The sequence below is a fragment of the Homo sapiens genome, chromosome 2 (genome assembly GCF_000001405.40).
Source record: "Homo sapiens chromosome 2, GRCh38.p14 Primary Assembly".
In the NCBI taxonomy this organism is placed as follows: Eukaryota; Metazoa; Chordata; class Mammalia; order Primates; family Hominidae; genus Homo; species Homo sapiens.
The window spans coordinates 228,084,784-228,112,455 of record NC_000002.12 but is presented as its reverse complement, the minus strand read 5'-3'; the positions used below and the strand labels follow the sequence as shown (position 1 = coordinate 228,112,455).

At 36.3% G+C, this 27,672-nt stretch overlaps 1 protein-coding gene across 6 annotated transcripts in view, besides 1 other annotated feature; it reads left to right on the top strand.

The window, feature by feature from the left end:
- SPHKAP (SPHK1 interactor, AKAP domain containing) overlaps positions 1 to 27,672 on the top strand; it is a 201,733-nt gene that overhangs the window by 69,232 nt on the left and 104,829 nt on the right. For all 6 annotated transcript variants that reach the window (NM_030623.4, NM_001142644.2, XM_006712778.5 and 3 more), the window contains one exon: positions 3,517 to 3,624. In NM_030623.4, coding sequence (NP_085126.2) covers positions 3,517 to 3,624 — 108 coding nt within the window. The remainder of the gene's footprint in view (positions 1 to 3,516; positions 3,625 to 27,672) is intronic.
- Positions 9,285 to 9,464: an enhancer, noted in NCBI's record as "active region_17204". NCBI's record gives its function as "activates an Ori minimal core promoter by ATAC-STARR-seq in GM12878 lymphoblastoid cells {active_cell/tissue: GM12878}" and the evidence as "EXISTENCE:reporter gene assay evidence [ECO:0000049][PMID:35858748]".

The window sequence follows — 27,672 nt, the reverse complement described above, 5'->3', positions numbered from 1 at the left end:
TGAAATATTTTGTTGTAACCATGGTATTATGTGTCCTAAATATCTTAGAATGTAGACAAGGTGCAGGATATAATTTTGAGTAGTGAGCTCTAGAATGACTAAGAAGTGATTCTTAGTCAGAATGTTTGTTAAACTGCATTGTAAGACATTATTAACTAGTATATTCATTTGATGCCTGTATTTTACACTTGATCTTAGCCAAAAGGCCAAGAAGCGATGATACCTGTATTTTAAATCTTTAATGTTCTTATGACACAGAGTTAATGAGTGCTTTGTTTTATTGATGGGTGTTCCAAAATCTAGGGATCACAGAAAGGCAAGGAGCAGAAGCATGATAACATCAGTTGGCTTAAAGATAACTCAAGTAGGTGTAAAAGCATCCTTTCCTTTGAGAAATTAAAATACTGATAATACTTGCCAAGTAGATTAATTACATTATATAATTTACATCACAAAAAGTTTCCTCTCTTTCAAGAAAATTGTCACCTCAGAATTTCATTAATGGAAAACTAACTTTAAAATGGAAGTCCATAAGAAAATGTAGTTTTATTTACAAAAAAAAATAGATGCAGATAAGTTTTTGGAAACCTACCCCAAATCATACCCATTTGTATGGGTATATAAGACAGCCCTCTTCTGTAATTTCACATCCAAAGTCAGGCTCTGAACAATTTGGGGCAGAAATTCATATCTCTCTGAGACTCAAGGTCTTCATTTTCAACCTGAAAATTTCTGTAAAGATTTGTATCTTTATAATAATTCCTACCATAGGGCATTGCAAAAAAGATTAAATGAAAAAGTAAAAATATACATATAGGAAAATTTTAGCACAACTTCAACATATTCTAAGCATGCAAAAATAGTAGCTGTAACTATTAATACTACAAAATGCATAACTAAAATTACACCTTAGACCAGAATATTTGCTAAAGAAAATTTGCCATCACACATCTGAAATATTTTCAGTCCTGTCATTTCAGACAGAAGGCATCCAATGTTCTATTATCCTTTTCAGCCACCTTCAAATAGTAACAGTAAAACCCAAGTTCTGAGAGAATAGCTTACCGTTTCCATGGCACAGTGTTTCACATATATCATCTCACTGAATACCCTCAGTGATCCCACCAGATGAGTAGTACCTGCATTCACAGCTGTGGAAACTGAACCTCAGGGTTTAAGTCATCTGTTTGAGGTCATCCTGCTACTAATGACCAAGTTAGGATTTCAACTCAGTTAGACCAGTAATGTTGATGCTCTTAAACTCTATTCTATGCCTGAAATACAAGGGAAAGGCATGTGAATGGCATAAAGTGAAGTGGATTTAGAGCCTTTTTCTGCTTTAAATAAAGTTCATCTAGGTCAATGGTTTTCAATGTTTTTTAACTCAAAATTCTTTTGCACTCTAAGAAAAATATTAGGGACCTCAAGAAACTCTCGTTTAGAGAGATTATACTTATTGCTAATTTCCATATTACAAATTAAAGCTAAGAAAATTTTTTATTTTATTTTCAAATAAAACAGAATTTAAATTAAATAAATAAGAATTTGTTATTTGACAAAATAATTTTAAAATAATAATAAACACATTATCCTATATAACATATTTTTAAGAAAAATATTTGTTTTCCAAAACAAAACAAAACCCTTTAGCGAGAAGAGTGATTTCAATTCACATGTTTGCAAATCTCCTTAATGTCTGACTTGATACAAGACAGCTGAGCTGTCCTAGCTGCCTCTGCATTCAGTCTGTTGTGCTGTCACACATCATGTAGCCTCTGGAAAACTCCACAGAATATACATGAGACAACAAGAGCAAAAAGAACAAATAACATCTTAGTATTATTATCAAAGTAGTCTGATTGCTGCACTCTCTGAAAGATTTCAGGGACCCTGATAGGTCCTAGCCCATGCTTTAAGAACCAGTTTAGGTAAAATATTTAAGAGAACTGAGAGGTTCCCTAGCCAACGTCAGTCTGCAGTAATAATCCAAGTTTATCATTCAATTACTTGCTCATCCACAAAGGGTCTCTTTGTACTGTTCTGAGAAAGAATGATGAAAATTTATTAATGAAAATTTATCACTAATATAATAAATGATATTTTGATATGCGATTATATTTTATATTATTATAAATGATAACATTTATCATTAATAAATTTTCATTATTTTTAGATGAGTAATATTACTCATCTAAAATGTGTCACAATTAGATTTAGTTAACTGTATTCAGAGACTAAAAGTAATGTATTTCTGTCTTTACAGAAAAAGAGAAGACAATCTTTTGTTGTACGAATGAAATGTAATTGAAGTACTATCCTATTTTAGTGGCATTAACCAAACTGATTAAATCTGTTATGTTGCTTCAGTGAAAGTAGTAGTCAAGTATTAGCAGACACGTACCCTAATAAAATAGAGGGTACCAGAAAAGCACTGGGAATCTTTTAAAAGATGAAGAAAATGTGATACAATATTAGGCTTTTTTTTTTTTTTTTTTTTTTGAGACATTTTCACTCTTGTTGCCCAAGCTGGAGTGCAATGGTGTGATCTCAGCTCACTGCAACCTCCACTTCCCGGGTTCAAGTGATTCTCCTGTCTCAGTAGCTGGGATTACAGGGGCGCACCACCACGCCTGGCCAACTTTTTGTATGTTTAGTAGAAACGAGGTCCCACCATGTTAGCCAGGCTGGTCTCAAACTCCTGACCTCAGGTGATCCACCCACCTCGGCCTCCCAAAGTGCTGGGATTACAGGTGTAACCCACCACGCCCAGCCAATATTTGGATAATTTAAAGACATTAGCAGTTATTGATAATATTTCATCTTCAAAATATCTCAGCTCCAAAATATGCTTGTTCTTCCTTGCTTTAAGAATCCAAGACCAGAAATCAGATATTTGTCAGTCATATTTGGTTTTGTTAATTCATGTATTCCAATTATTTTTGCCATACCGTGCTATTTCTAAATGGCAAATGGTATTTAATGTAATTTGTTTATAAGTTATTTCTAACAACTTTTAAACTTAACATAGTACCTTAGGTGTTCTAGAAAAATTGTACACTAGTTCAAAGCTAAGTTAGCAGAACCAAAGAAGTGAAGAATCAATATTCCATCAATGAAAAACCCCATATTTTGTTAATTGAAAATACTTATGGAGTGTGAAAGAACACTAGCACTAAATGAAATTTGATCCCCATTGCCCACATAGCCATACCCCCAAAACAATCATTTGATTGCAAATTATGCAAAAGCTACACAATTGACATTTCCAGGTGTTGGATTTGATGAGAGAACATCTGTGTTAACATTAATGTATTTCTCTCAAGCTAATTCTAGGTTGGATATTTTATACATTTTAGAGGTGCTATCATCCTGCAAGTTTTTTTCTAACACCCAGAAGCTCTGAGGAAAAGAAAACACCTACAGGTTTTTTTATAAGAAAAAAAAAAAAGAGAGAGAGCTGCTGTTTAGATAGAAAGGATTGCCGAATAAGAACTGAGTTTTTCTGGGTTCCTCCAGGTTCTTCGCAGCAATAGCCTGCTGGAGTCAACAGACTACTGGTTGCAGAATCAGAGGATGCCCTGCCAAATTGGTTTTGTAGAAGACAAGTCTGAAAACTGTGCTTCTGTAAGTACACAGAATTCTTGGGATGTTGTCTGATAAAGCAGGGAAGCGGGCACATGTACCCATGTTTAGGACCAAAAGTTTCATAATTCATTAAATACCAAGTTGAGAAAATATTCCTTTGAAAATACATAGCGGGTTTATATGGACAGTTAACAAAATAGCATTCAGAGCTAATGTTTGTATCCCCATTTTGCTCATTTTAACAGGTAAGTTATCTAATAGAAAAAATGTTTATATTTACAAAAATGACTGCGAAAAAGATTCAGAAATAGAATTGTATGATGAGAAGTAGAAAGCCATTCAACAACTCTCTTGTATTCTTTTCAGTATATTTTATATCACCTGCTAGTAGGTATTTTCTAATATGAAAAGTGTCTACAAATGTTCCATCATTCTTATATGTTACAGTCATTATTTGAAAACCTTGAAAAAAACTTTTCAACCTAAAAAAATAAACAGTCATACATTTTAATATATTGACGCTGAGCCTTACATACAAAACTTTCTTTTCCAAGGGAAAAGATATTCTTCCAGAAAAACAATATAATTCTTTCAGCTTGGAATGTGATTAGATATTATTGTAGAATATGTTCCTTCCTATATGTTAGAGAAAACTATATGTTTCATTTTGATTGAAATCACCTAGCTCTAATGGGGTCATGATTACAGAGATTGGGGGAGAGTGTTTCCAAAGAGGAGAAAAATGTAATGTAATTCGCATGACTAAATTGAGAGCATCAGCTCTGAGCTATTCCTGGAGGTAAGTTGCATGCCAGCATTTCTGTTAAAAGAAACAAAAAAGGAAGCTGAATATGGGATAGCAAGGCTTTTTATATATAATGAGCAGAACTAAAGAACCAGAACTGGCAGACAGAGGATGTTAAACATTTCACACTGCACAGAAATACAGTCCATTCAATAGATTTAAGTCAATCCCTTTGTTTAGGCAAAAGTTTATGATTCTGCTGCTTTTCGTACTTTTGATCCCTTGTCCAGAAAATTAGTTGCTGGCTAGGATTCCTTGGGGAAAACACAAAGAATTAAGTGGCAAAAATTTAAGTGATATCTTCTTTGCAAATTCAGTTCTGAGATGAGTTGGAAAATTCAGGCATTTGCAGATACAGATCTCTAGTTACACAGCCATAAATTGTAAAATGGAGAGGAAAAGCTATCAGCAGACACGCTTTGGTCAAAGTTGTGATTTGAACAGCTCCTAATAAAAAGTCTCTCAGGAGAACTCACTAAAGTTGAGGTACTAAAAATTGTCTAGTGAAAGGCAAAGAGTATATGTTGGGGGTCTGGATTTCAGACCTACAATGAGAATGCTAACTTTAAATCTGTAGTCCCTTTATAGTGTCAGATGGTATCAGTGTGGTTCAGCTGGTTTATCCCACCTTTATGATTCTCCCTAATCCTTCTAAAATGGGAAAAACCTATACAAAAGTAAGAGGCATATTGGAAGATTCATTTGCTCCCAATAGTTTGTAATAACTGAAACTTCCACAAAAATGAAAAATTGAATTAAAAAAGTTGAACTCATAAAAGTAGAGAGTAGAATGGTGGTTACCAGGGGCTGAGATAATGGATTCAGGGAAGGTTGAGAAGATGTTAGTCAAAGGATACAAAATTTAATTTAGATTGAAGGGATAAGTTTAAGAGGTCTATGGTAGAACATGGTGACGATAACTAGTAGCAATATGTTGTATTCTTGAAAAATGCCAAAAGAATGGATTTTAAGTGTTCTCAGCCAAAAAAAAAATGATAACTACGTGAGTTAATGCATATGTTCATTAGTTCAATTTAGCCATTCCAGAATGTATACACTGTATATTTCAAAATAGCTTGTTGTACACAATAAGTATATTCAATTTTATTTGTCAATTTAAAACTTAAAACATTTTTAAAAAGTATCCAGGACTCTAAACCTAAAGGAAATTTCAGGGTCCCTATGAAAAACTAACCCTAATCTCTCAAAAGTGTCCTGTAGTTGCTTTTCTTAATTTCCAAATCCCCTGTCTTTCTGGCTTGGCACATATTTCTAGGATGGGTAGAAGAAACTTTGATGTCCAGAGTTGCACATTCCTGAGGGAAATTATTACCTACAGAAGAAATAGAAGTAAACCACAGAGGTGATGGACTAGGACAAGGAATTCATGAGCAAAATAGCTACACAGAAGCAGTGACCAAAATCGTCAAGGAATAAGGACTTAATTCCTTTTCAAAACCAGTTCTCCACACCAGCATGCAAATGAAAGTATAATTTAAAGAGGGAAAATAGATTATATTTTAAAATAATGTTCTCATTAAAGTTTAATTTTAAGAATAGTTTTATAAAATCATCCCAAACTTAAATGTCTTTACATATAATCACAAGAGAATCTGAGGAACCTGTAGTAATTCAGTTATTATTGCTTTGTAACCAGTTCATAACTCTGGGGGGACCCAGCTCCAGGTTATTCTTGCTTCTTTAACTTATTTCATCCTGACCTAAATTAGTAGCCAACGTTTTCATATCCAGTTGTGATTGGTTTGGTATTCACTGTAATGAACTTCTAGTGTTTAGATGTGTGGTTTCTTTGATCTCAGTATGTTAGAGGTAGCAAAGTTTCCTGAATTCAAGATGTCCACATAATATTTTTATTGAGGAACAATCTCAGACTTGGAAAATATTGAGAGGGTTGTGTGCATATTTCAGTACCCCTGTTTGTTCTCAAGCATCAAATGATGAGTTATAGTCATTTCTTCAGTGGGAAACCGCACTCATTTCACGGTTAATATAAGAAGTCTTAGTGAAGAGCAGTTTGGAGCAGCTAGAAATATGATAGGCATGCGGAACAGGAACCGCTATCCAGGAAGTCTGGCTCAGAAGCCCCCTGAAGACATCTTCAGTAGTTTTTCAAAAGCTATGTGTATTAGTCTGTTTACATGCTGCTGATAAAGAAATACCCGAGACTTGGTAATTTATAAAGAAAAAGAGGTTTAATGAACTCACAGTTCCACGTGGCTGGGGAGGCCTCACAATCATGGTGGAAGGCAAAAGGCACAACTCATATGGTGGCAGGCAAGAGAAAATGAGAACCAAGCAAAAGGGGAAATCCCTTATAAATACATCAGCTCTTGTGAGACTTAGTCACCGTCACCGGAACAGTATGGGGGAAACCACCCCCATGATTCAATTATCTCCCACTGGGTCCCTCTCACAACACATGGGAATTATGGGAGCTACAATTCAAGATGAGATTTTGGTGGGGACACACACAAACCATATCAGTATCAAATATAAAAACTGTGCTTATGTGTTTCTAATTAAAGTCTCCTATCAAACAATATAATTTTATTTCTTTTTCTAATTTGCTATTCTGAAAAAATATATACTAACCTTCATGGCATTTTTTAAACCTCATTATTTAAAAGAAAGGAAATGAGGGGTAGGATAATGGAATTGGAAGCCAATCTCCAAAACCCAACAGCTGAGACATTATCTTGATAGAGGTCCTTCACGTAAGTGGTAGGAATTGAACTTGTCAGTACTCTTGACTTTTTTTTTAATTAAAAGTTAAATTAGGCCAGGCATTGTGGCTCACGCCAATAATCACAGCACTTTGGGAGGCTGAGGCAGGAGAATTTCTTAAGGCAAGAGTTCAAGAGCAGCTTTGGTGACATAGTGAGATCCCATCTCTACATACAATTTAAAACTTAGCTGGGCATAGTGGTGCATGTCTGTAGTCCCAGCTACTCAGGAGGCTGAGGCAGAAGGATTGCTTGAGTTCAAGAGTTCAAGGCTGCAGTTAGCTATGATCCCACTACCTCACTCCAGTCTGAGTAACAGAGTGTGACCCTGTTTCAAAAAAAAGAAAAAGAAAGAAAAGAAAGCAAGCAAAATTAGTTCTTTAAAAATCTTCCACTGTTTTTTTATGTTTACTAGAATTTAATTTTTGACTTTTCAGAAAACATCTTTTGGTTTAATACTTCATTAACATTACCTTGACCATTCACATTATTTCTATTCATAGTTACTGTCAGGCTGTTTTCGTATTGGTTATTTGAAGACTACCAGCTATCATCCCCCAAACAAATTATACCTTTTTTCTAGCATGCACTTTAATTGATGAATCACAGTATTTAAAAATGTGTTGTATCTGCCTTAAATTTGTAAACAAGCAAATAAAGCTCTCAAGCAGCCTTCAACATTCCTCACATGATATTGCAAAACTGAGATGTTTTATAGCTGCTCTGTGAGTCTTCTGTGCTAATGAAATCCAGTGGAAACAATGACAAATGACATCTCATATAATTCGTATTTTATATTATTTCTCCAAATATACCTAAGCCCTATTTGACAAACACCACAGTTGATAAGTTGTTCTATGGAAGAATCTAGACTCACGTGATCAAAGAAATATTACAATATATTATATTTGAATAATTTGAATTATATATTATATAATAATATAATATAATGATATTTATATTATTATTTAATATTATTTTAATATTAAATTATTTAATATTATATTATTAATATTATTATATAATATATGATATAATGATATATAATATATAATATAATGATATATATAATATATAATATAATGATATAACATATAATATTTAATCATTATATAATATATAATATAATAATTATAGAACTGTGAAAGGACATTTTAAATTACCTAGTGCAGATAGTTATGAAGTTTTCAAGAAGCTGTTAGTGTTTTTTTCTTTAAAAATCAAGTTTCAAAATTATTACTTCTTTAATTTTAGACTTACTGAAAAATTGCAATGAGTGCAGAGGATCCCCAGACTCCTCAAATTTTAACATTTTTCCACGTTTGCTTTATCCTTTTCTCTGCATGTACATGTGTTTCTGTGAAAATGTACATATATAATTTTGTTAAATGGAAACACCAGAGAATGGATTGCAGACATGATTCTCCTTAATTTCTACACACTTCAGTGTGGAATGTAAATACATAAAACCAGGATTGAACCCAGACCTGCAGGAATCTTAGTTCAGTACCCATTGTACAGGGGGTACTGAATTAATTCTTTAAATACTTATTTAACAGTTTTTAAGGAGGAGCTAAATGCTGTCTGTAGAAAAGTAAGAACCTATCAAATGCTAATGGCAGAAGTCATCCAGCCTCTGAGCAAAATAAAGGTCCTGTATTCGGCTGGACCCACTCACTTTAGGAATCAGTTTAAGCATCAAGAGTTACCTGAGCAAGCAGCAGGCTGCGGAGGGCAGAGTGAGAGGCAGCTCCCAGCCCCCACCAGAGAGGGCTTATTTCTGCCAACTTCAGCCAGTACCACGCTCTGAGAGAGACCCTTGGATAAGTTCTGTTTCTTCCATTTTAACATATTTTCAAGAATTTTCGTGTCCATCCCCCTTACGTGGGTGCAGAAGGGACCTACTTGGGAGGCTTGCTCCTTAATCCAGCTCTAGAGAAAACAAATAAAGCAAGGCAGTTGAGTGAGGCAGAGTGGGAAACCCCAAGCCCATCTGTGTGGCTTTCCCTTTGCAGCAGTTCCTGAGGCACCTCAGCAAATCCAGCAGGCCCAGAAGAAACTTTCTGACTTTCAGTCAAATGAAATTTCTACTAAACTTTATCAAGCCACTTGAAGACAATGAATTAGGTTTCTGTGGGGGGTTGGGGGAAAAGCATGACACAGAACATCGGTGGAGAAGAGAGTCACTCATCACAGCAGCCAGGTGACTCAACATCTGTGAAGGTTGTGTGGAAGAAACAGAAACCAAGAAAAGTGAAACATGAAACTGAAGAGTGGGGCCTGGTGCGGTGGCTCACACCTGTACTCGTAGCACTTTGGGAGGCTGAGGCAGAAGGATTGCTTGAGCCCAGGAGTTCGAGGCCAGCCTGGGCAAAAGAAACAAGTGCCCCATCTCTACAAAATATTTTAAAAATTAGTTGGATGTGGTGGCAAGCACCTGTAGTCCCAGCTATTTGGGAGGTTGGGGTGAGAGATCACTGGAGGCCAGGAGTTCGAGGCAGCAGTGAGCTATAATCACACCATTGCACTCCAGCCGGGGTGACAGAGTGAGACCCTGTTTCAAAACAAACAAACAACAAAAAAAATTGAGGAACTTTTTTAGTAAACAACTTGAAGGCTAAACTTGAAGTGGATTGCCAAACAATGCAGCATTAATTTAGAGTATATTCAGTAAATACTGTATGGAGTGCAGGCTTTAGACTTACTCCATACGTTTATCAACATCTTGGATCCTGAAACTATTAAAGAAAAAGTTTTTACAAATTTATTTTTATTTAAAATGGACTCCGAATTAGATCTTATGGTTGTAGGTAGAATTCTACATGTAAAATTAAGATCAATGACTTTGTTTTACTTGCTCAAAGAATTACAATATATATCTAAGTATTAAGTAAGTAGAGTGAGACTCCCAATAATTAATAGGATGAAAATTAATTTATAGTGAAATATAGGTGATTGTCTCTATGACTATTTAAGTATCATGCAGCTGCAGAAACAAATTTTAAAATGTCTGTACTTCAGTAAATAACATAAACATAATTTAAAAACCAAATGACAAGTGTGTTTAAAAAAAAAAGGTAAGCAATGTATTTGACAAACTCAAGTATTAATCTCAATACATAATGAGTTTCTGTACTACAATATGAAAAAATGAAAATTCCAGTAGCAAAGTTTGCAAAAGCCATATGAAAAGATACAATTGTTAGCATACGCATGAGAAAAATAAGCTTCTCTGGTAATCAAAGAGATGCAACTATAACTATTATACCATTTATTTTGAGTAAATTGCTCAAGAGTTTTGAAATTACTACACCCAATGTTAATGTACACACAGTACAGAGGACACTCAGCAACTGACAGGGGGAGTATAAGTTGATAAAGTTGTATAATCTTTCTGGAGGATAATTTTGTAATATGTTTCACACAAAGCATTTTAAATGTATGACTACTGATCCACTTCTAGAGACATATTTTAAAGAAATGACCACAGTTGCATGCAGACTGGTATAAAATATGGTTATGGTACAAGATGGTATGTCTAAGCAAACAGAATGGTTCAATTTAGAACCTGGGACTGGAGTCAGACCACTGGTTTGAACCCCATAGGCTCCCCTTTCCAGCTATGTAATATTGAGTGAGTTTAGTCTTTCTCTGCCTCAGGTTCCTTATCTGCAAAATAGAGATAATAATTGTATTTACCTCATAGATTCAAGGATTAAGTGTGTTATCACTGGTAAAATGCTAGAAGAGTGCCTACACACAGTGAGCATCAGATAAGTATTCAATATACTTAACAGCAGGTGATGGCAAGACTTAAGAGAGAATTTACATGCCCAGCAGTATAGGAATAGTGAAATAAACTTTGGACATCTACATCATGAAGACTCATGCATCCTTCATAAACTAGATTTGCAAGAAATATTTAAGCACATGGAAATTAAGGCCAATAATGTAACTGTATATAAAAAGTAGGCTACAAAATTGTACATGTATGTTAAACAGCATATGTTAATGAATTACATGAAGAAAAGAGAGAAATCAGGAATAACTACAATGATTATGGCTTGAGTTCCTAGGTGTATGGATGCTTCTAGTGTATGGAAGGGGAAGACTAAGGAGGGGAAGAATGGGCTGGAGCTAGGAAGTGGGGATGATGCTGGATGCCCTTTAGTCATTCAAATGGAGAAGTCAAGAAAATAGTTGAGTGTTAAGTTGGAGTTATTGGCAATATCAGGGCAAGAGATAGACATTTTAGGGTCTTCAGAGTGACCATCAGAAAGTAAAGATCAGCCAACCAGGGAGAATGTGCAGATAGAGAAAGCGGCTTGGGCTGAGCTCTGGGCCACTCTTATAAAAAGTGCTTGGCCATTCTCTCAGAGGTACAATGAAGAGCTGGTGCCAAAATCCTGCAGAAACTACTCCAAAAAATAAAGGAGTAGGGACTCCTTCCTAACTCTTTCTATGTAGCCAGCATCACTGTGATACCAAAATCTGGCAAACACACAACAACAACAACAACAAACTGCATGCCAACATCGCTGATAAACATAGATGCAAAAAAACCCCAATAAAATATTAGCAAACTGAATCCAACAGCACACCAAAAAGTTGATTCACTACTATCAAGTAGGCTTTAATTTTAAGATGCAGGGCTGGTGGAACATATACAAATCAATTAATGTGATTCACCACATAAACAGAATTAAAAAGAAAACCATACTATCATCTCAATAGATGCAGAAAAAGCTTTTCATAAAATACAACATCCCATCCTGATAAAAACCCTCAACAAACTAGGCATCAAAGTAACATACCTCAAAATAATAAGAGCCATCTCTGACAAACCCACAGTCAACATTATACTGAAAAAACAAGAGCTGGAAGCATTCCCCTTAAGAACTGGAACAAGACAAACAAGACAAGGATGTCCAATCTCACCACTCCCATTCAACATTGTACTGGATGTCCTAGCCAAAGCAATCAGGCAAGAGAAAGAAATAAAAGGCATCCAGATAGTAAAAAAAGAAGTCAAACTATTTTTCTTCACTGATGATATGATTCTATACCTAGAAAATTCTAAAGACTCCACAAAAAGGCTCCTAGAGCTGATAAACAACTTTAATAAAGTTTCGGGATACAAAATCAATGTATAAAAATCAGTAGCATTTCCAGGGCCGGGCGCAGTGGCTCACGCTTGTAATCCCAGCACTTTGGGAGGCCGAGGCGGGTGGATCACGAGGTCAGGAGATCGAGACCATCCTGGCTAACACGGTGAAACCCCGTCTCTACTAAAAATACAAAAAAATTAGCCAGGCGTGATGGCGGGCGCCTGTAGTCCCAGCTACTCGGGAGGCTGAGGCAGGAGAATGGCGTGAACCCAGGAGGCGGAGCTTGCAGTGAGCCGAGATTGCGCCACTGCACTCCCGCCTGGGCCACAGAGCGAGATTCCATCTCAAAAAAAACAAACAAAAAAAAATCAGTAGCATTTCTGTACACCAATAATACTCAAGATGAGAGCCAAATAACACAACACACACACACAAACACACACACATTTTAGGATTACATCTAACCAAAGAGGTGAAAGATCTCTACAAAGAGAACTACATAATACTGCTGAAATAAATTATAGATGACACAAACAAATGGGAAAATCATCCTATGCTCATGGATTAGAAGAATCAATATCATTAAAATGGCCGTACTGCCCAAAGCAGTCTATAGATTCAGTGTTACTCTTATCAAATTATCAATGTCATTTTTTGCACAATTAGAAAAAAACTATTATAAAATTAATATGGAACCAAAAAAAGAGCCTGAATAGCCAGAGCAATTCTAAGCAAAAATAACAAAGCCAGAGGCATCATATTACCCAACTCCAAACTATACTACAAGGCCACAGTAGCCAAAACAGGATGGTACTGGTACAAAAACAGACACAGACCAATGGAACAGAATAGAGAACCCAGAAATAAAGCTGCACATCTACCACCATCTGGTCTTCAACAAAAACAACAAGCAATGAGGAAAGGACTTCCTGTTCAATAAATGATGCAGGGTAACTGACTAGCCATATGCAGAAGAAAGAAACTAGACCCCTACGTTTTACCATATATACAAATTAACTCAAGATGGATTAAATACTTAAAGGTATGACCTAAAAATATAAACATCCTAGAAGAAAACCTAGGAAATATCATTCTGGATATCATCCTTGACAAAGAATTTTTGTCTAAGCCCCCAAAAGCAATTGCAACAAAAACAAAAATTGACAAGTGGGACCTGATTAAACTAAAGAGCTTCTTCACAGAAAAAGAGACTATAAACAAAGTAAACAGACAACCTACAGAATGGGAGAGAATATTCACAAACAATACATCCAACAAAGATCTAATATTCAGAATCTATAAGGAACTTAAAGAAATCAAAAAGCAAAAAACAAATAACCACATTAAAAAGTAAACAAGCAAAAAACCACCCCGTTAAGAAATCAACAAGCAAAAAAAACCCCATTAAAAAATGGGCAAAGGCCATGAACAGACACTTTTTTTTTTTTTTTTTTATACTTTAAGGTTTAGGGTACATGTGCACAACGTGCAGGTTAGTTACATATGTATACATGTGCCATGTTGGTGTGCTGCACCCATTAACACATCATTTAGCGTTAGGTATATCTCCTAATGCTATCCCTCCCCCACCCCACCACCCCACAACAGGCCCTGGTGTGTGATGTTCCCCTTCCTGTGTCCATGTGTTCTCATTGTTCAATTCCCACCTATGAGTGAGAACATGCAGTGTTTGGTTTTTTGTCCTTGTGATAGTTTGCTGAGAATGATGGTTTTCAGCTTCATCCATGTCCCTACAAAGGACATGAACTCATCATTTTTTATGGCTGCATAGTATTCCATGGTGTATATGTGCCACATTTTCTTAATTCAGTCTATCATTGTTGGACATTTGGGTTGGTTCCAAGTCTTTGCTATTGTGAATAGTGCCACAATAAACATATGTGTGCATGTGGAACAGACACTTCTTAAAAGAAGACATACATGTGGCCAACAAATATATGAAAAAATGCTCAACATCAGTAATTATCAGAGAAATGCAAATCAAGACCACAATAAGACACCATCTCACACTAGTCAGAATGGCCATTTGTTAAGATTTAAAAAAAAAATATGTTGGCAACGTTGCAGAAAAAAAGGGAAAACTTATACACTGCTGGTGGGAATGCAAATTAGTTCAGCCACTGTGGAAAGCAGCTTAGAGATTTCTCAAATAAATTAAAACAGAACTGCTATTTAATCCAGCAATCCCATTACTGGGTATATACACAAAGGAATATAGATCGTTCTATCAAAAAGACACATGTACTCGTCTCTTCATCACAGCACTATTCACAATATCAAAGATCTGGAATTAACCCAGATTCCCATCTATGGTGGACTGGGTAAAGAAAATGTGGTGTATATACACCACGGAATACTACACAGCTATAAAAGGAATAAAATCATGTTCTTTGCAGATACAGATATAGCTGGAGGCCTTTGTCCTGAGCTAACTACCACATGTTGTCACTTAGAAGTGGGAGCTAAACATTGGGTACACATGGACATAAAGGTGGGAACAACAGACACTGGAGACTGCTAGAGATGGAGTGTGGGAAGAGGCAAGAGATGGAAAACTACTTGTCAGGTACTATGTGCAATACCTGGGTCATGGGATTATTCTCACACCAAATCTTAATGACACACAATTTACCCATGTAACAAACCTTCACATGTGCCCACTGAGCCTAAAATAAAAGTTGAAAAAAAATAAATGATGCATTTCACCAAAATAAAAATAAAAAAGAAGTGCTCAGTCAATAATCTGCATGTCCCAGGGTCCCCAAAATAGCAAGAGATGTAAGCCTTAGTTTCAAATATATAATGAAATGTTTTATGTATCTGGACATTTTTGCCGCTAGAAATATAATTAGATGAATAAATCGAAGTGTGTTTTTAAAACTTGGGTTTTTATACCATTTCTCAACTATTTTTTAATTCATTTTGACAAAAGAGTACATTATTAAAATAGCTCAGAATAGCTTCAAGTTTCAAATTTTATACAATTCCTGTGATTATAGCAATTATCCTCTGAGAGGAAAGCCTGTCAATCAAGAAAAACAATAATAAACAATGTTTCTCATTAAAATACCTTTAAACTTCAAGGATACTGACTACATAATTTTCTATTTCTCTTCAGCAAAATTATTTGTTTGGATTAACATGTCTGTCTTAATCAGTTCTTCCAAAATCTTAGGAAAACTAGTTAGAAGTGATAGCTTAAAAAAGAAAAACACCTAGATTCTCAGGGTAAATTTTTAAAATAGAAGTAATTAAAGATGGATCTGACTAGTGACACCCCCAGGATGTATGTTTTTTTTAGTTTAGAGACTCCAGAGTATGATTTCTTTCTTTTGTAAAAATAAGACAAGCTCACTCTAGTGGTTTGTTAGGAAATGAGAAAGTGCTAAAAGCAGAAGGGAAATTTCTGTCTTTGCAAACTTACATATTACACTTCTTTATAGACCAGAGACTGCTTTCATTTCATATTCCAGACGGCACCCAGCAGCACCACAGCATCTGTAATGTTAGTGGACACACACGCAGACACACACACACACACACACACACACACACACACACAGTTGACCCCTGAACAACATGGGTTTGAATTGAACAGATCCACTTACAAGTGGATTTCATTCAACCAAACTCAGATAGAAAATAGAGTACTCGTGGGATGCAGTTTTCGTATGGGCAAGTTCCTCCCAGGCCAACTGTGGGACTTGAATATGCAGGAGATATTAGCGTGCTCAAGGGCAGGGAGAGGGGCTTGTCGGGGTGGTGGTTTTGTTCTGGAACCAGTCTGCAACGTACACTGAGGGACTGGTGTATATTTCTGTTGAAACTGTGACTCTGATAAGCAAGCAGTTTACTTCATGAAAACTCAACCAAAAGAGTGATCCAAAAGATAAAAATTAATCCAGTAGGTATAATTGCACCCAAGTATCCAATTCAAAGTCTTCTACATCTGCCCTCTCCATACTGCCTCCTGATCAGCCCTCACTCCCAGTCACTGCCCTTTTCCCGGTTTCATTAGAATGCTTGCCATTCTTCAAACATCTATGTTCCTTTGCCCACGTTTTATTAGTCTGAAGTCCCCTGGTACCCACTTGCTGCCCCATAAGTTCTTGCTGATGTTTTCAATCCACCCATGTTCATGCAAAATTTTTAAACATTACTTAACACTTTAAAGCATTTCTCCTTCAGGACAATTCAGTGAGAGACACACCAAATTTTTAAATTCAGATTAATTCCTGGAAACTTACTGTAATTTCCTGCCCTTACTTTATTGGGAACTGACAGCTGGTTTCTCAATTACTTTAATATCATGCTCCTTCAAAATTGCTCTATCACAAAAGACAACAAATGGTCATCATTGTTAATGAAAGTGCTATTCACCACTACACTCTTATATTCTTGCATATAGTTCTCCATCCAACAAATACTTACGTTTCTCCAACTGTCCTTTAAAAAGCAAATAAAAAAATAAATAATATTTTTCTTGACCTTCACTCCCTGTCAAACTGCCACTATGTCCCTTCTTTTACTACCAAATTAAAAAAAAATTAAAAAGTATACTATCTCTTCTCTCTAGCTCACGTTTCTTACCATTTTTGCTGAAATTTCTCTTATTAGTGTCACCAAATCTACTGACATGTTTTCACTGCTTATATTACTTAGCTCTTGGTAGAACTGAACTCACACCCCCACACAGCTTCTGAAAATTAGCTATTTCTCCAGGGCTTTAAAAACACTAGTCTCTCTTTAATTCTTCTCCTGCCTTTGGGATCATTACTTTTTTGTCTCTAACCTGAACTTCTGTTTTCCCCACCAGGCACTTTAATGTGATGTTTCCCAAAGATCTGTCCAAAAGCCTGGTTGCTTCTCGCTCACTGCCCTCACTCCATATCCCCTGGTTTCAGCCACGGCTATCTTTTCATAACTACCATCTCTGGACTGTAAACTTGATGCCCAAGTGCCTGTTAGGTATTCCCATCTGCACGTGGCCAAAATGTCCTGTTTCAACATGACTAAAGGTAGATGTCCAAAAATATGTTCTGTCTTTCAAATTTCCCATTTCTATTGACAGTTTTGGAATCTACGGAATCTACACGTTTTTCCAATCTATAATCCTGAGAAACACACTTTCTCCCTCACCCTTCATCTTAAATTGATTATCAAAGCTGTTTTGATTTTGCAATTCTGGCTATGTGTTTTCAGCCCCAGCATCACTATTTTGTTGCTTAAAGCCCCACATATTTCTTCTCAATATTTAAAATGTAAAAACCAAAAGTAAACAAACACAGAAAAAAACAAAAAGACCCCAGCAACCTCAAAAAGTCGCTGGTATCTTTTTCTCCCAAAATCCTCTGCAGCACCTAATTCCGAGATATATTTTAAGGTTACCGTGGTATGAGTAACTGCATTCCTAGTTCCCAACTGCCACCCTCAGCATCACATAATTCCTCCAGGGGCTGCTGAGTCAATCTAGTATCTAATTCAAGACCATGGCTCTTACTTTTTAGTTGAACTGGATATTAATTCCAAAGGAGCTGATTCACCATCTTCATCCTAATTTTTTAAACGGCACGCAAAATGCCAGGCCAATGAAAAACACTTTGACATTGGCACATTTTGACATTGGAAACACTCTTTCAATAATCATCTGTCAGATCCTAGTGATAGGACCAAAATAAAATATCAACTGGTGAATGTATTTGCACCATATGCTAAACAAATAGAATGTACAAGTGTTTTTCTATTCTGCCAAACTAAGTGACTAAGCTTCCATTTGTGAAATCGCAGAACCCAAGAGCTATGATAAACCTGAGAAGATATATTGCCCATTCTACTCATTTTTCAGGTGAGAAAACAAAACAGCAATGAAGAAAAGAGATTTCTCAAGGCCACAGAGTAAATTAGTAGTAAAGCCAGGCCTGAAGCTTAAATCCACTAGCTCTTAGCAGTGAATACATCACTTTTAAAATATTCCGGTTGGTTCCCCGCTCCAAATATTATAATTTTAAGAAAATGTTTCATAAGGTACAATTTATTCATTATAAGATTATCATGTTTATTTGAGGCTTAAGATATTTGCATTATTAATCCATGCTGAAAACCTAAAATTAGTATTATAAAAAAATACCTAGATATTTAGATTGTTGGTTATTCTCAATACCCTCAAGATTCTCACATTTGTATCAATTTTAGAACATTTTTATTACCTCAAAAGAAACTCCACTTTGCTTAGTCATCACTTCCCAGGCATACCATCCTCCTTAGGCCTAGGCAACTGCTAATCTACTTCTTGTCCCAATAGCTTTGTTTTTTTTTTTTTTTTTTTTTTTTTTTGAAACGGAGTCTTGCCCTGTCGCCCAGGCTGGAGTGCAATGGAGTGATCTCGGCTCACTGCAACCTCTCCGCCTCCCGGGTTCAAACGATTCTCCTGCCTCAGCCTCTTGAGTAGCTGAGATTACAGGCACCCGCCACCACTCTCAGCTAATTTTTCCATTTTTAGTAGAGACTGGGTTTCACCATGTTGGCCAGGCTGGTCTTGAAATCCTGACCTAGTGGTCCCCCCACCTCAGCCTCCCAAAGTGCTGTGATTACAGGTATGAGCCACTACACCTGGCTATTTTCTCTTTACATACATTTGTTTACTCATAAAAATGGAATCATACAATATATGGCCTGTTGTGTCTGGATTCTTTCACTTAGCATATTTTCAAGGTGATTCATGTCATATTATGTATCAGTATTGTATTTCTTTTTATTGCTAAGTAATATTGCATTGTGTGGGTTTTGTTCATTCATGAGTTGAGGAAGGTTTGCATTGTTTCTACTTTTTGACTGTTATGAATAATACTGTTATAAACATTTGCATACAAGTTTTGTGTGGACATATAATTTTATTATTCTTTGGTATAAACCAAGAAGTAGAATTGCTGGTACTACTACATATGGTAACTCTATATGTAACTGCCTGAGGAACTGCCAAACTGTTTTCCAAAGCAGCTGCACCATTTTACATTCCCACTAGTGGTATAGGAAGGTTTCGATCTCCCTACTTCACCAAAACTTGTTATTATCTGTCTTTTGGCTTATAGCCTTCCTAGTGAGTGAAGTAACTCATTGTGCTTTTTTATTTTTTTAATTTCCCTAGGTTTGGGGGAACAGTTGGTATTTGGTTACATGAGTAAGTTCTTTAGTGGTGATTTGTGAGATTTTGGTGCACCCATTACCTGAGCAGTATACACTGAACCCAGTTTGTAGTCTCTTATCCCTCAACCTGTTCCCATCCTTTTCCCTGAGTCCCCAAAGAATACTGTATTGTTCTCATGCCTTTGCATCCTCATAGCTTAGCTCCCACTTATGAGTGAGAACATATGATGTTTGGTTTTCCATTTCTAAGTTACTTCACTTCAAAAAATGGTCTCCAGTTCCATCCAGGTTGCTGTGAATGCCATTAATTTGTTTCTTTTTATGGCTGAGTAGTGTTATATATATACATATATATATACACGTATATACATGGCACATGTATATGTATATATATGTATATACATATATACACATATAATATACACATATATATGGCACATATATATGTATATACATATATACACATATAATATACACATATATATGGCACATATACACATATATATGGCACATATATGTATACATATATATGGCACATATATGTATACATATATATGGCACATATATGTATACATATATATGGCACATATATGTATACATATATATGGCACATATATACATATATGTATATATGTATATATGTGTATATGTGTATATATGTATATATGTATATCTGTATGTATATGTGTGTATATATGTATACACACACATACACGTGTGTGTGTACGTATACACACACATACACGTGTGTGTGCACGTATACACGCACATACACGTGTGTGTGTACGTATACACACATATACACGTGTGTATACATGTGTGTATATATGTGTGTATATATGTGTGTATGCATGTGTATGCATGTACACACATGTGTGTGTACACACATATATGTATATGTATATATGTGTACACACATATACGTATATGTATATATGTGTATATATACATATATACACACATATATATACATATATAGACATATATATGTTGCACAATTTCTTTATCCACTTATTGATTGATGGGCATTTGGGCTGGTTTTGTATTTTTGCAACTGAGAATTGTGCTGCTGTAAACATGCGTGTTCAAGTATCATTTTTGTATGGTGACTTCTTTTCCTCTGGGTAGATACCCAGTAGTGGGATTGCTGGATCAAATGGTAGTTCTACTTTTAGTTCTTTAAGGACTCTCCACACTGTTTTCAATAGTGGTTGTACTAGTTCACATTCTCACTAGCAGTGTAGTAGTGTTCCCTTTTCACCACATTTATGCCAACATCTATTTTTTTTTATTTTTTGATTATGGCCATTCTTGCAGGAGTAAGGTGGTATCACATTGTGGTTTTGATTTGCATTTCCCTGATCCTTAGTGATGTCGAGCATTTTTTAAAAATGTTTCTTGGCCATTTGTATATCTTCTTTTCAGAATTGTCTATTTATGTCCTTAGCACACTTTTCAATGGGATTGTTTGCTTTTTTCTTGCTAATTTTGTTTGAGTTCCTTGTAGATTCTGGATTTTAGTCTTTGTCAGGTGTATAGATTGTGAAGATTTTCTCCCGCTTTGTGGGTTGTCTGTTTATTCTGCTGACTATTCCTTTTGCTGTGCAGAAGTACTTTAGTTTAACTAAGTCACACCTATTTATCTTTGTTTTCATTGCATTTGCTTTTGGGTTGTTGGTCATGAGGTCTTTGCCTAAGCCAATGTCTAGAACGGGTTTTCCAATGTTATCTTCTAGAATTTTCATAGTTTGAGGTCTTAGTTTTAAGTCTTTAATCCATCTTGAGTTGACCTCTATTTTTTGTTTTAAAGTTTATTTTGTTTGATATTAGTATAGTCACTCTAGCTTTCTAATTCTTGCTTTTTGCATGTTTTTTATTTTTAATCTGTTTTTATCCTTTTACTTTCAACCTATTTATATCCTTCAAACTCCACTGTGTCTCTTATTCACACCACATAATAGCATATTACTTTTTATCCAGTATTACAAACTCTGACTTTTGATTGGACTGTTTACTCTAGCTGCATGTTACTACTATTTTTAATATAGATGAATTACAGCTGCCATATGTATTAGTCTGCTCTTCTGTCATTATAAAGGAATACCTGAGACTGGGTAATTTATCAAGAAGAGAGATTTAATTGGCTCACAGTTCTGCAGGCTAAATAGGAAGCATGGTGCTGGCATCTGCTCCCCTTCAGGTGAGGCCTCAGATAGCTTACAATCATGGCAGAAGGCAAAGAGGAAGCCAGCACATTGCATGATAAGAGACAGAACAAGCTAGGGGGTGCTCATCCTTTGAAAAAAAAAAAGATCTCACATGAACTGAGTGAGAACTTGAACTCACTCATCATCAAGGAGTTGGCACTAAGCCATTGATGAAGAATCTGCCCCCAAACCAAAACACCTCCCACAACACTCTACCTCCAACACTGGGAATTACATTTCAACATGAGATTTGGAAGGGATAAACATCCAAACTATATCATTCTGCCCCTAGCCCCCAAAATCTCATATCCTTCTCACATTGAAAAATGCAATCATCACTTTCCAATAGTCCCCAAAAGTCTCAACTCATTTCAGCATCAACTCGAAGTCCAGTGTCCAAAGTCTCTTCTGAGACTCAAGGCCAAGTTGTTTCCAGCTATGAGCCTGTAAAATCAAAAACAAGTTATTTACTTCCAAGATACAATGGAGGTACAGACATTGGGTAAACATTCCTACGCCAAAAAGGAGAAATTGTCCAAAAGAAGGGGGTAATAGGCCTCATGTAAGTCTGAATCCCAGCAAGGCAGGCATTAAGTCTTAAGATTCCAACATAATCCTTGATTTTATGTCCTGCTGCAAGGGGTGGGCTCTTATGGCCTTTGGCAGCTCCACTCCTGTGGCTTTGCAGGGTGCAGCCCCCATGGCTACTCTCACAGGTTATAGTTGAGTGCCTACAGTTTTTCCATGCTGAGGTTACAAGACGCTGGCGACTCTACCATTCTTGAGTCTGGAGGACAGCAACCCCCTTCCCACAGTTCCATTAGGCAGTTCCTTGGTGGGGACTCTGTATGGTGACTTCAATCCCACATTTCCCTTCAGCACTTCACAAGTAGAGTTTCTCTGGGTGCTTCTGGTAAGGCCTTCTGCCTCTGGGTACCCAGGCTTTCCCATACATCCTCTGGAATCTAGGTGGAAGATGGCAACCCTCCTTCACTGTTGCATTCTGTGCACCTGCAGACTTAACACAACATGGAAGCTGCCAAGGCTTACAGCAGCTTACATTCTCCAAAGCAGCAACCAGAGATGTCCCTGGGGCCCTTTGATGTGGCTGGTGCAGAGAGGCAGGGATGTAGGGAGCAGTATTCTAAGGCTGAGCAGGGCAGTGGTGCCCTGTGCCTGCCCCTGAAGCCTTTCTTTCCTCCTAGGCCTCTGGGCCTGTGATGGGAAGAGCTTCCTCAAAGATTTCTAAAATTGCTTCAAGGCATTTTTTCCTTGGATATTAGCATTTGGCTTCCTTTTTGTCATGCTAATCTCTTTAGCAGGTGGTTCTTCCACAGCCTGCTTGGATTCTTTCTGTACCACTGGGTCAGTCTGCAAATTTTCCAAACTTTTCTGCTCTGCTTCCCTTTTAAATATGAGTTTCAACTTTAAGTCATTCCTTTGCCCCTGCATCTAACTGTAGGCTGTTAGAAGCAGTCATGCTGCCACTTGAACACTTTGCTCCTCACAAATTTCTTCTGTCAGATACCCTACATCATCACTCTTAAGTTCATACTTTCACAAGTCCCTAGAGCATGGACACAATGCAGCCAAGTTCTTTGCTAGGGCATAACAAGTGTGACCTTTGCTCCATTTCCCAATAACTTTCTTATTTGCATCTGAGGCCTCCTCAGCCTGGGCTTCTCTGTCCATATTTCTATCAGTATTTTGGTCACAACCACTCAACAATTGTCTAAGAACTTGCAAACTTTCCAAACTCATTTTCCTGTCTTCTTCTGAGCCCTCTCAACTTTTCCCACCTGTTCCCATTACCCAGTTCCAAAAATGCTTTCACATTTTTAGGTATCTTTATAGCAATGCCCCACTCCTTAGTGCCAATTTTCTGTGTCAGTCCATTTGTGTTGCCATAAAAGAATACTTGAGACTAGGTAATTTATAAAGAAGAGAGGTTTTAATTGGATCATATTTCTATAGGCTGTACAGGAAGCATGGCCCTGGTATATGCTCAGCTTCTGGTGAGGCCTTAAGAAGCTTACAATCATGGCAGAAGGTAAAAGAGAGCCAGTGCATCACATGGCAAGAGAGAAGAGGGAGGTGCCATGCTCTTTTAAACAACCAGATCTCATATAAACTGAGAACTCACTCATCACTAAGTAGATGGTGCTAAGCCATTCATGAGGGATTCACCTCCATGACCCAAACACCTCCAACAAGGCTCCTTCTCCAACATTGGAAATTACATTTCACCATGAGATTTGGAGAGGATAAACATCCAAACTATATTGCTTAGTACTTCTTGATTTTTATATGTCTCGTATTATGTTTGTTCCTGTACTCCTGCTTAACTTCTTTCTTTTGTGTGAAGTGAATATTTTCTAGTGTAACATTTTAGTTTCTAGAGCAATTTTTACTGTATTTTTAAAATATTTTCTTAGTGGTTGCTGTAATACTTACCATTTACAATTTAACACCCCAAAATACATGGTATACATAACACTTTAGATATATATAAACTTATTTCTAGAAAGATAGAAATGTTACTTCTCATTTATGTGTTTTTAATGTTATTAATACTACATCTATATATATTCCAAATTCAACAGTACATTATTATAATTTTATGCCTATTAAAGAATCCAAGAAAAGAATAGAGAGGAAGTATATATTTACAGAATTTTTTATATTTACAATTTGTGGGTCTCTCTCACTTTTCTTGTGATTTTATTTTACCTGGTCTCATTTTCTTCACTGCAGTACAACTCAGTTCTATCCCCTTTCTTTGTGATGTTTTTGTCAAATGTATTACATAGAAATGTAATATGAAATGTACAATAGAAATGTGTATGTTATAGGTCTAAGAATACAACTTATGCATATTCTTTTTAAAATATTGCTTTTTGAAACAGCTGAGAAAAGAAAACTATGCATTTTTCAGTAAGTCTGTAGGTTTTAGATATTATTTCTTTCAAATATTTGCCGCTCCTCTCTCTTTCTCCTCTCTCTCTGATATTCCCATTGTATGTAGTTGGTGAACTTAAAGTATGCCACATTTCTCAAAGTCTCTGTTCATTCTATTTTTTCTCTGTTTTACAGGTTGCATATCCCTGTCAATCTCTCTTTAAGTTCACTGATTATTTCTTCTGCCAGTTCAAATCTACTGTTGAGCTCTCCTATTAAATTTTTCATTTTATTATACTTTTCAATTCCAGAATTTTCATATGGCTCTTTTAAATAATTTCTCTCTTTTTATTTATATATTCTTTATCTGATGAAACATCGCCCTCATACTTACCTTTTTTTCTTTAAGCACCATTTCCTTTAGTTCTTTGAACATATTTGTAGCAGCTATTTTGAAGTCCTTGTCTGTTAAAGCTGACATCTCACAGTCAGCTTCTGTTGCCTGCTATTTTTTCTTGCATATGGGTTACATGTTCTTATTTCTTTGCATGTCTCATAATTTTTTTTGATTAAAAACTGAACATCTTAGATAACATATTGTCTTTATCTAACAACTCTGGGTACTGACTCCATTCCGTTCTCTCTAGGCCTTGTTTTGTTGTTCCTTAATTTTTCATTTGCTTTGTAATTTGGCTAGGTTATTTTAGTGAAGTCTATTTCCCCAATGCAGTGTGAAGCCTTTGGTATCATTCCTCAGAGGACATAGCCTTGAAACTTTGTACAACCACCTAGGATGACACTGGTCTTAGCATGGGTCTCTTTGACTGTCTTTCCTCCATCTTTCTTTTTTGGCTGTCTAGTTCATTTGGTATTATGCCCCTGAATGTTTGACCTCACTATTTGCCAGGTGATTGTGCTATCATTGTTTTCAACAATGCCCTGGGCTATAAATTGCTCAGCAGTCTGATCCAATTAAATTTCAGCAAGGGTTACTTTTGGAGCTAGCCTTTGAGTTTTGTTCTGACCCCCTGAGGGCTCTTCTTAGCTGTTTCATTCCCTGGTTCTCTTTAGGGCACTAGCTGGCCAATGGCTTAATTTGCTGCTCTTAATTAACTGGGGCTATTGTTTTTGAGAGAACCCTTAGGCTTGAACTTTCCCAGACTCCGTTTCAAATACACTTAGTTCCTTTGAGGAGAGCTTCAGAGATCTCTTTCACAGACTATCTTTCCTCCTGGGCAAACTCTCTGAACCACTACTCTGGTCATGAGGTAGACTGGTATCCTCCGAGGTCCGGTTTGACTTTCTTAGTGTGGAACCTCTTCCCTCGAGCAAATTTGAGTGAGGGTGGTCATGGCATTCTTATCCTGAAATATCTAGGGTGGTACCTCAATCTTATCGGTAGGACCTATATGAAAAAAAGGAGTCCCCAGCTTCTTGGCTTCACTCATTGAGAATTTAGTATCTTCAATTTGGAGCTAAAAGGGATGAGAAATGTGAGTAGCCTCTGCTTCCCAGTGAGATACAGTAATTCTTGGTTGGGAGCTGAGGGGAGAGAAAGCACCACCTTCTTAGATGCCCAAATGGAGCTTCTGTCAAGTTGTGCTGGGAAGAGGGGAGGCAGGGGAAAGAAGGGAGTGGGTTGTGGTTTAACTTTCACAGACTATCTCTTCTAGCGGAGTTTTAGTAGATTTTCTTGAATAAATATTTCTTCATTTTCTATATGCCCTTAGTGAAATTTCTAGATAATTATAATACTTGTTTTCATAATTTTTGCCAATTTTTTTTTGTTGTTTCACTGGGAAGCTTGTCCTAAGAGCTCTTCATACTGTCACTCCAGACCTGAAACTCACTACTTTCTCCATTTCCAGTTCTTTTCACTTCATATTACATGCCTGGCCTTTGGAGATGTTTGGGTTTATAACTGAGGCAGGGTTTGTAAACATAGAGTCCACAGTTTCATGTCTTCTGTTAGAGGTAGTGTAATATCCTTTAGCATTTAGCCTCATTGAGGATATGGCTGACCTCTTTCATGAAAGTTAAGGCATCTAATGTCAATGAGGAAGAACATCTCATTTTTGCATAAAGTTGACAAGTGAGTATTTGTGAAAAGAGGCAAGATTTTCTCTCAGAAAAAAAAAACTCAGGGTTCCTTATAATACATGGAGTCCAACTTCAAAAGGTGCTTTTGTTAGTCTTAATCTGAAAACCTGTAACGGAGGTCACTTAATGTGCAGAGAAGCCATTAAAAGCCTTTTTCAACAGTATTGATTGTTTAACTTTAAAAATGCAATTTCAAGATAAGCCCATGAAATAAATTGTTTGTAAAATGTTGCCCTTAATATGACATGTGTTGACCTGTAATACAATTGTCAGCTAAAAGCTACTTAGACATTAAAGGAGAATTGTCAAAGGGTGTTAAATGTTGAATAGCTAAAATTGAGTCATTCTCTGTAGTACCAACTGGACAGAAGACCAAATTGTCTATTGATGCTGTTCGTTTTTTCCAACATAATCATGTCATTGGCCTACAAGAGAGCTTAGTCCTATATCCTTGAAGTCATCAGAATGTTTACATATTTTCAACCAGAAATCCATGGATGAATATATCTGTATCAAAGAAAATTTACTGCAATTCTTGTCTAATAACGATAAGTCATGTGAGGTAGGTACAGGCAAACAAAAATAAACCTGACATTAAAGTTAACAGTGATATTTATTACTACAAATTCCCAAGTGACTTTACTATGTGAGCTCAAAATTTTAAGACCCTTTCCAAATGCTTATTCATTGTTCTTCACAGTGCAGTGTCAGAAGAAAGTGATATTTTGCTTAATTAATGAGAACAGCATGATTTTTCTGCCTTTATGTATACATTTTACACTGACCTTCAGCATGGTGTTCTGTTAACTCAGCAGATCGCTGCTGTTCTGGCACTTAGTCTGTGAAACGCATTCTGTTGAATTACCTAAGAGGTGAAAGAACTAGAGGTGTATTTTTGGTTTATCTCAGTAACAGCAAAGGAAATTCATCAATCAATGCCACAGGCTTCAAACCACTCTTATGACAACTCAATTTTATTGACTATTTTTCTTCCTTTGGTAAATTTGTCTGCAAAGATGCATTTTTTCTCTGTTCAATCCAGCCCTTTCTCATTCTTCACC